At 42.4% G+C, this 10,792-nt stretch overlaps 1 annotated feature.

Annotated features, from left to right (window-relative positions):
• Window positions 9,652-9,731: a silencer, noted in NCBI's record as "silent region_19817". NCBI's record gives its function as "represses an Ori minimal core promoter by ATAC-STARR-seq in GM12878 lymphoblastoid cells {active_cell/tissue: GM12878}" and the evidence as "EXISTENCE:reporter gene assay evidence [ECO:0000049][PMID:35858748]".

The raw sequence follows: 10,792 nt of genomic DNA on the forward strand, positions 1-10,792 counted from the left end.
TTCTACAGGACAGAAAATAATTCAGTATCCATATGATCTGGTAACTTATCTAATTTTATAAAATATGAATGTTTGTTCCTTTAACATATAAAATGAACACTGAATCAAAAGGACCCAGTCTTCTCCCATACACACCACTCTCCACACAGCAACCAGAATAATCTCTTAAAACAGGAAATTAGATCCAACCATCCCCCTGCTTAAAGCTCCCTACAGGCTGCTTCTCATCACACATGGAGTGAAATCCAAACTCCTTCCTACGACCTACAAGGTCTTACCACATGTTACCTTGGACTCCTCTCTAGACTTCCTTCTCACCTTCCCCTCTCACTTGACTTCCAACCACGTGAGCCTTATTCCTCAAGCAGGTCAAGCTGTTTCTCTCCCCGGGGTTTTATACCTGTTGTTCTCTTTATCTGTACACTTTTCTCCACATACAATTCCTACACCTCATCAAGAACACTACTTAAATGCCACCTCCTTAGAAAGGCCTCTAGAATCATTGTTTTTAAAATGGTTCTTTCTCCCCACCTCAACATCACTGCACCCCCTTATCTGACTTTACTTTTATAGCACCAATCAACAACTCAATTAATTTGTTTGTCTTCTTTAATATTGCCCCCACAACACTGTAAATCGCCAGGACTCAGAAAAATATCTGGCACACAGAAGAAAATAAAGAAATCTTTATTGAATGAAGGGAAAAAGGGAGGAATGATGATGAATTCACCTTCTCCCAAGACAATTTATTCATTCCATCTCTTAACTGAAAACAGCCTACCTAATTTATCATGCATTGTTCCTATTGCTATCTTCTGGAACAAAATACAAGATATCTATCTTCATTTGACATGATAAATATTTATTGAATAAATGGACAGATGGGTGGGTGGGTGGGTGATGGATGGATGGGTGGTGAGAGGGAGAGAGAGTGGGAGGGAGAGAGGGAGGGATGAAGGGATGGAGGAAAGGAGGGAGGGAGGGATAAACTTTGGTCTCAACCTGTGATAGATCAGAATCCCTATAAATTGTTCAGTTATTTTTAAGTAAATAAGTACTCAAACACTATAATTCTTTTCATTATTTTGCTCCTCATCTTTCATCTCTTTATGTCATTTATTCATTAAAAGACCTAGATTTCAGGTGGTCATTAAATTTCTTTTGGCTAGAGAGCTCCCGTGAATGTTAGACCTTGTGAAAACCCCTAAATACCTTTTATTATACAAAACTGTTACCATGATGCCCTCCCCTTCAAGTCTATAATATATTTTACTTATATCAAGCTAGCTTTCTAATTTCATCTCCCAAGCAGTAAAATTTCCAACAATCTAGTCACTGTCCCTGGCAGCTCCAGGAAAGTCCTTACACCAACCCCTTTTTCTTGTCAGATATGATGCTTGACACGCCCCCTAATTGCCAGCGTCCCACTCCTTATGCATAGCCCCCGTGCTCTGGTCCACCCAACTGTCATTTTTCTTCCAGGTAACATCATAAGTGCCAAGTCCCCATCTCCTCTCAAAAGTTCCATCCCATTCAGAGGTTGCATCAGCAACGTCGCAAGTGATCCAAGCTCCACAGCTCAACTCCATCCATCAAAAGCCTATCCACACACCCCAGCTCTGCACAATGACTTGCAGTCATTTCGGTTTTACAGAAAAACTAACCCTTTAGGATATTTGAAGGTGAGGTGGAAGAAGAAAGAAAAAATGGTTACAGACCTGGTCCTGAAGTCTAATCAAGAATGGTAAAAAATCTCCTCCCAGAAAGGATTTCACATTATCCAGTGACTTTCTAGATGGAGTAAACCACTCAAGGTTAACACTTATTACCCTAGAGATAGTCAACAGTGGCTCAGAACCCAGAGCTGTACTTGCACCAAGGCTCCTGCACTATTCTCCCAGTGCATCTCAATCTCCCCCTGTTATACACACACCCACATACACATCTTGCTGAGTTTCAAGCACCTCTAGCACTTAGCATAATATCTGACCCATCATAATAATAGCCAACACTTATCATCCACCATACCCTCTGCTCAGCATTTTACAAAAGCCTTCCAACCACACTAGAATTAGAACTATTATTATCCTCATTTTATAGATAAGGAAACTTTCACATGTTTATCTCTCTTATTTATCTCTTTTATTTAACCAGAATCTATAAAGAAGCTGTTCCTGTCCACATTTTTTAGACAAGGAAATTGAATACTAAAGAAATTAAATAACTTGAATAATCAAAGCCAGCCATCTGTTCCACGTGGCAGGACAGATTCAAAACCAGGACTCTAACTCTACAATCTATGTCTTTTTCATCCTGCAGGAGGAAGGACATCAAAGCAGGGTGTCTTTTTCATCCTGCCTCTCAAGAGTAGTCTGCCATGAGAAATACAAAACCATGCAATTTAATAATCAAAAATACATTTTAAAGAAAAGAGAAGTAGATGTACTAGATAGCTGGGATGTCTTGGTTGCTACAGTTGAATATTAACTTAACTGTAAGCTTCTGCCTGCCAGCTAGGGCAAAAATTCTAGGTACTGGACTGGTCCTATGAGTGAGTCAGCATACAACAGCTACGTTGGAGGGTTAACTTTCTCCAGATTCCATTTTTAGGTATGTAATAATAAATGTGCAATGTCCTGTCCTGATATATTAGAAAGGATGTATTTACTTTAAGCACATGTATCCACATAGAGTTCATAGAACTAATACACACATAGAATATAGGGATGATTTGCAAGAACTCCCCCTTATCACAGGATGCATTCCTCCTGCAGAGCATGCAAAGTGTAGAGCAGTGGAGAGAGAAGGGGTTCACCAAGGAAGGCACTAAAGGAAAAGAATGATCATTTGTTAAAGTATTATGCCATCTCATCCTATCTTCTCAACAGCTAAGTAAAATAAGCATTAATAGTCACGATTTTATACTTGATAATGGCAAAGGCTAAGTAATAACTAGAATATTATTTACCTAAAAAATAACTAGAGGAATATAATTTGAGCCTAGATCTATCACCTCCATTTCTTATAAATGGAAGATGGGCATCTGGTCCCCATTCCGTCTCTTGCTAGTTGTGTGACTGACCTGAGGCAAGTCACAAAAAAACTCCCTTGATACCTGAGTCATCAGCTGATAAAAGGGATCACTGGGTTGGTGGAAAAGTAAAAATGAAATAATAGGTAAAACTGGCTGGGCACAGTGGCTCATGCCTGTAATCCCAGCACTTTGGGAGGCCAAGGCAGGCAGATGGCTTGAGCCCAGGAGTTCGAGACCAATCTGGCCCACATCTTAAAACCTCATCTCTAATAAAAATACAAAAATTAGCTGGGCATGGTGGCACGTGCCTGTAATCCCAGTTACTCAGGAGGCTGAAGTGGGAGAATCACTTGAACCCAGGAGGCAGAGGTTGCAGTGAGGCAAGATCGCACCACTGTACTCTAGCCTGGGCAACAGAGCAAGACTCCATCTCAAAAAAAAAAGAAAAAGCTCCCTCTCCCTCTCCCGTCTCCCATCTCCCGTCTCCCGTCTCCCGCTTTCCACGGTCTCCCCCTCTCCCTCGTCTCCGTCTCCCGCTTTCCACGGTCTCCCTCTGTTGCCGAGGCTGGACTGTACTGCTGCGATCTCGGCTCACTGCAACCTCTCTGCCTGATTCTCCTGCCTCAGCCTGCCGAGTGCCTGGGATTGCAGGCGCGCCGCAACGCCTGACTGCTTTTTGTATTTTTTGGTGGAGACGGGGTTTCGCCGTGTTGGCCGGGCTGGTCTCCAGCTCCTGACCTCGAGTGATCTGCCCGCCTCGGCCTCCCTAGGTGCCAGGATTGCAGATGGAGTCTCGCTCACTCAGTGCTCAATGTTGCCCAGGCTGGAATGCAGTGGCGTGATCTCGGCTCGCTACAACCTCCACCTCCCAGCCGCCTGCCTTGGCCTCCCAAAGTGCTGAGATTGCAGCCTCTGCCCGGCCGCCACCCTATCTAGGAAGTGAGGAGCGTCTCTGCCTGGCTGCCCATCGTCTGGGATGTGAGGAGCCCCTCTGCCCGGCCGCCAAGTCTGGGAAGTGAGGAGCGTCTCTGCCTGGCCACCCATCCTCTGGGATGTGGGGAGCGCCTCTGCCCGGCCACCCCGTCTGGGAGGTGAGGAGCGCCTCTGCCCGGCCGCCACCCCGTCTGGGAACTGAGGAGCGTCTCTACCCAGACGCCACCCCGTCTGGGAGGTGAGGAGCGTCTCTGCCCCGCCGCCTCGTCTGGGATGTGAGGAGCGCCTCTGCCCGGCCGCGACCCCGTCTGGGAACCGAGGAGCGTCTCTGCCCGGCCGCCCCGTCTGAGAAGTGAGGAGCCCCTCCGCCCGGCAGCAGCCCCATCTGGGAAGTGAGGAGCGTCTCCACCCAGCCGCCCCATCTGGGAGGTGGGCAGCGCCCCCGCCCGGCAGCCGCCCCATCTGAGAGGTGGGGGGGCGCCCCCGCCAGGCAGCCGCCCCCTCTGGGAGGTGGGGGGCGCCTCTGCCCGGCCGCCCCGTCTGGGGGGTGGGAGGCCCCTCTGCTTGGCCGCCACATCTGGGAAGTGAGAAGCCCCTCTGCCCGGCAGCCACCCCATCTGGGAGGTCTACCCAACAGCTCATTGAGAACGGGCCATGATGACTATGGCGGTTTTGTCGAATAGAAAAGGGGGAAATGTGGGGAAAAGAAAGAGAGATCAGATTGTTACTGTGTCTGTGTAGAAAGTAGACATAGGAGATTCTATTTTGTTCTGTACTAAGAAAAATTCTTCTGCCTTGGGATGCTGTTAATCTACAACTTTACCCCCAACCCCATGCTCTCTGAAACATGTGCTGTGTCAACTCAGGGTTAAATGGATTAAGGGCAGTGCAAGATGTGCTTTGTTAAACAGATGCTTGAAGGCAGCATGCTCCTTAAGAGTCATCACCACTGGCTAATCTCAAGTACCCAGGAACACAAACACTGCGGAAGGTCGCAGGGTCCTCTGCCTAGGAAAACCAGAGACCTTTGTCCACATGGTTATCTGCTGACCTTCTCTCCACTATTGTCCTATGACCCTGCCAAATACCCCTCTCCGAGAAACACCCAAGAATGATCAATAAATACTAAAAAAATTTAAAAAAAAAGAAAAAAGAAAAAATACACACACAAGAAAAAACTGAAAAAGAATAGAGTATTTCATAAATTGTAGCCTCCTTACTTCTTATTCATCTTTTACAGCTTAGCTCAAAGTTATTTTCTCAGAGAAGCCTTCCCCAAGCTTCTTGATAAGATTCAATCCCTATAGTATACCTTTTTCTTTGTTCACCTTATTAGAGTCACAGTTTTCATTGATGCACTTACTGAATTGTCTGCCTCTCCAGTCTACAGCTCCATGAAGGCAGAAACCCACCTGGTTTGGCTCAGCATTATTATAACTCCAGTGCTTAGCACAGTGCCTGGCATTTAGTAGGCACACAATAAATTTTTGTGGGTTAAATGCATCAATATGTTTGTGTTAATGTTAAATTATACATTTTATATCATAAAATATACAATTACAATGTATAAAACTTGTAATTATAAAAAGAAAAATTAAAACCCAATTTATTACCTAGGAGCCACACTTTCTAGTCATCTTAACCATCTGGAACTTAAAAGTAAAAAGAAAAAAATCTATGGGGAAAATGACTGTCATAAAGCCCACACACTTGACTCTTTAGGAGACGTGGATCCACCCTCAAGCCATGATTCAGACAATCGGGCATAAAATAATGCAGGGAATGACAGCAGCTAGGACACCCGACAGCTATCAAGTGACAGCCAACAGCAGCAGAAGGAGCCAGAGTGTAGAAATGCAGCCTGGCTCTGCAGTACAGCAGTCTAAAGGCATTTCACTTGGGGGCCACTGTCCCAAGCACCTAGCATCCCCAGGAGACACTCTCTCATCACTTAGTGCAATGGCTGATGTTCCAGGGAGTCTTCAGGAGAATAAATATAATGTCTAAGACACTCGGTGTATAAGCAAAAAGACACAGTCAAAGATCCCAGAAATGTGTGCCTGCCAGAGTGAAAAATTAAAACTGTTTCAGCAGTACATAAACTTCCCTAAAACGGAAAAGATGTGTCACCCCATGACTGCTTTGCATAACTAAGGTGTCAGTGATACATGCTTTCATCAGGTACAGGTTAGAACCAATTATTTGTGTTTAAACTTCTCCTCTCAAGAAGTCTTCACACCTCCTACCAAGGTCTTATAAGTGAATCCCAAAACAAACTTCAGAGCACCACTATAAATTCTTATACAAATGACCTAAGTAAGAAATTATTTAGTCCCGATCTCTCCTTACCAAGCTGGAGAAACATGCAACCTAAAGCCAATTTACAATGCAGGACGGCAGGGGCACAGCCAGCCAGGTGCACACAGAGGATACAGCAAGGTGATAAAGACGAAACTATGATCATTTGCAGATTCAAATAAAGGGAATTTCCAAGAGCAGAAAAAATTCTAACCCATTGCTAGGTTCACAGCTAAGACCTCCATATGACAGATAAGCATACAGATTTATTTACTATAAGTTTTACATGACAGAGAGCCTTCAGACATGAACACCCAGAGAAACAGAGAAATCTATGTATTTTCATACTAAGTTTGATGAAGAAGTAGATAGTTGTGGAGAACTATAACTGGAGGACAAAAGGGCATGATCTAATGGTAATAAACTGGGAAAATTTTAGCAAGGTCTGTTTCGTTCAAATCCTTCTTAGTGTGTCTGTGTCTTCCAGGATAAAGATATTCCCTTCCTCAGGGTACAGGGAGGGTACCTCTTATGAACTACTTTACAGGAAGGTCAGAGAATTCATTTACGGCCTGCTTTAGGAGAGAAAGGCAAGAGGAAGGTCAGAGAGACTTTCCTACTACTGCTGTTTTCTCCAATACTAAAGTACCATATTTTGGGATCCCATGTCCTGAATTCCATCAACTAATTGGTACAAGAACGAGGAAGCCTCCGTGAAAGCCAAGCTAGAAAAGAGGTTTGTTCTCATGGTTAGAGTTCACACATATATTAGCTAATACGCAATATATAATAGTGTGTAATATTACACAACTCTTTGACTACGCTATGTCTCCATTTTTTTGTTTGTTTGTTTGTTTTCTAGATGGGGTCTCTGGGTCTGTTACCTTGACTGGAGTACAGTGGTGCAATCTCAGCTCACTGCAACCTCTCTCCCTCCTGGGCTCACGTGATCCTCCCACTTCAGCCTCCCTAGTAGCTGAGACTACAGTTGTGCACCATCATGCCTGGCTAATACTTGTAATTTTTGTAGAGACAGGGTTTCGTCATGTTGCCCAGGCTGGTCTCCAACTCCTGGGGTCAAGCGATCGGCCTACCTCAGCCTCCCAAAATACTAGGATTACAGCATGAGTCGCTGGGCCCGGCCTCATATCTCATTTTCTATATTTGTAATATGGGAATAGGGTTTTGAGGAGAATTAAACAGCTGATATAAGTAAAGAACAGCAGCTGGCACATAGAAGGCACTTTTCAAGTGTTAGTTATTATTATTGTTAATATAATTATTATTATTCAGCAACTAACCCGTTGTTGTGTACTGAGCTAGGCTATTAGCCAGAGCAAGAAAGAAGACAGACATGCAAAGACAGATGATTAAACAAACAAAAACAGTAACTAGTTTTACGTAAGGGGAAAGGGGAAATTAAAAGGTTGCTACGGCACAAAAAATGGTGGTGAGGGAGCTACCTTGCTTAGAATGAGCAAGGAAAGCCTCTCTGAGGAGTTAGTATTTAAGATGAGAGGAAGTCAATTGTGCTAATACCAGAAGGAAATTTGTTCCAGGCATAAGAAAGAGTAAGTGCAAAGACCTTGGAGCAGAAAGAAGCATGGCAAGTTCTACAAACTGTTAGGAGTCCTGATGTGGCTGAGCTGAGTAAGCCAAAGGGAGAGTTTTGAGTCCAAGGAGAATGGAAAAGTGAGCCAAGGAGAACGGAAGGACAATCTGAGGCTAAAGAGTTCATCCCAGTGTCAATGCACTCCAGTTAGGTCACATGCCCTTTGGAATATAACAGAATTTCTCTTTCTGTCTCTCACTCTCTGACTCCACTTTCCATTTCTATGAACTGTGACAGCAATGCCCATAATACAGGATCATACTCAGGAGTAATTCTCATACTATTAACCTTCTCTCTTGAGTTTCTTAAATAAACATACTCTCAAAGGTAAACACATGAAATAGATACTGGTAACCATTTTGTGAATATCATACTGAATCCTAATAAGAAGAGGTTAGGAAAAAGAACTAACATTTATCCATCCCCTTCTATGCACCAAGCACTGCTCTAGACACTTAACAGATATGTTAAATCACTTAATTCTCACAGCAACTTTCTGAGGGACCTATCAGTATCTTCATCTTACAGAAAAGATATTAAGCTTAACATCAGAGATGTTAAGTAACTTGCCCAAGGTGACCCAGCTAATAAGGCAGAACTTGGATTTGAACATAGAACTCTCTGGCTCCACCATTCATTCCAGCAAGAGCAATTTATTCCATATTAAGCACTTCTCATGAGTTAGACTTTATTTAGTTAGCTCATGCCCATTTCTCTTTGACATTTGGCATTTTACCTTTTTTGTGACCCGGAGCATAACGGCTAAGAGCCAAGACCTTGGCAGACCCAGCTGAGAAAGGCATTTATCTGTTGGAAATAACAGAAGACACCACAAAGAAGATCTGTAGGAGCTACTTCACTAGGGATTTAAGAGTAAATGTTTTACTAAGAAAAGAGAAGTTTAGAGCTTGTGAGCATCTTGCAAATAGGAAGCTAATTTGCTTTATCAATTTTTGTCTGCTGTGCTTGATCCTTGGGATAATTTGTGAGCCACTGTATCAGCCTCACTTACATTGTAGTCTTTTATCATATGAAAGCAAGATATATTTCTTGCTGTCAAAACTAATCAAAGCATCTAAAGAAACCAAAGCAACCTTATTTACTTCCTCAGAGATCACAGCAAATGTCCTCCTGGTATTTTTTTTATATACGTTGTTTTTTTTGGTTTTTTTGTCCACACATCAGGTCACTTAAATTAAGGACAATATATCTTCATTTCAAATGCTGGTTGATATCCCTTAAATGTTTGCTCTTTAAAAAAATTTAATTCAAGTCTAAAACTGGCAATAATGGACACTGTATTATTAACGATTTAAATCAAAGTTTAATGCTTTTGACATCACAAAGACACAGATCCCACATTATAATAACCTTTGCCAAATGAATAGTAAACTAAATACAGGCTTCTGAGACAGCTAATCCTAAAAGGTGTGATACAGATGAGAGTAGTTAAATATAGCAATTATTGATATATGCTCTCATTCCAATATAGGGGAGGGATAGAGGTTGTTTAATTTTAATATCCCCAGAGGTTGACTTTGCTCGTAACATTTATAAAATATTGAAAGACAAGAAATGGTACAGATGTGAATTCCGCAGTTGGTTTTTTCAGTTGCCCTTGAAAGCAGCTGCCATAAATCTTGGATGAAGCCAATAAGGCTGATGATTTTGATCTTCAATTCATTCTTTTCTATCCTTCAAAAGGTAAATGATCCTGATGGAATTAGAGCTAAGCAGAATGGCTTTCTTCTGTGATCTGCATAGCAAATGATGCGCGCTGCCATCATTAGCAAAGTGGAGCCAGTTCCCTTGTGTGGCTGTGCATGTGCACTCAGGCTTGAACAGCGTTTTGAGTGAGAAAGACTCTTAAACACTGAGCTCAGAAACCTTCCATTTCCCTTCCCTTCCCCCCTTGATTTTACTTCTCCCTTCTGTGTCAGCTCAGCAGAATGCCAAACTGTGAACTGAATGTATGAGAATCAAGTACAAAGCTCTCCCAATTCCTGCTTTGGCATTTGAAAAAGTCTCAGCAAAAGATTTTTTTTCAGGCTGACTCTGAAAAGAGTACTACAAAAAGTTGTAGAAAAGTTATATTTAAGGCAGTTCAAGGCTTCCCTTACAGAAAACACTGGGGCCTTTCCTACTGAAACAGCTAAGTCAGATGAATCCTTTTCTATCCCTGTGGTGAAACATAATGTGGCTTTCTTAGGTCCCACTCAGTCATATGATACAATAAGACATTGTATCCTGTCATTAGGGATGGCGATAAATGTATTTGTGTGGGTTTGCAACTCTGCATCAGACCGCAAGGCAAACCCAGTTAAAACAACCACAGAGAGAATCATCTATCTTCATAAATTCAGTTGCAAAGAGAAATTCATCATGTTTACTGTCTTTAAGAAAGGAGTGAGTCTTGTAATAAAATGTTCTCTGGTCCAGATTCTTTGTATTTATGGGGTCCTTTTCTTTCTGCCTTTCACACAGAGCATGGTATATTCTAAAGCAGTGCTGTACCTTCATTAGCATAACATAATAAATAAGTTATGTGCCTTGGAATGAAGAATGTGCTTGGAGAGGGTGAGAAAGGAATATCCCTTCCATGGTAAGTGACATTCTTTAAAAGCTGTAGGTATAAGAAACTGCAGGGCTGAGCATTCTGAACCAAAAAAAAAGCAAAAGATACAAAGGACCTTTGAAGATATACCCCATCCTTCCCTACTTTGTTACTCCCTAAATTACAGAGAATTTTTGTGGGAATATGTTCATTTATTCAACAGACATGTATTCAGTATTTCTGTGTGCCAGGTATTGCAAAAACAAGCATCCAAAAATAATAAAATAGTTCTAAAACCATTTTTTTTCATTTTACCTTGAAACACTTTGCTATCGTATGCATGAACATAGACATGAACTCC

This window comes from Homo sapiens, chromosome 9 (genome assembly GCF_000001405.40).
Source record: "Homo sapiens chromosome 9, GRCh38.p14 Primary Assembly".
NCBI classification, from domain to species: domain Eukaryota; kingdom Metazoa; phylum Chordata; class Mammalia; order Primates; family Hominidae; genus Homo; species Homo sapiens.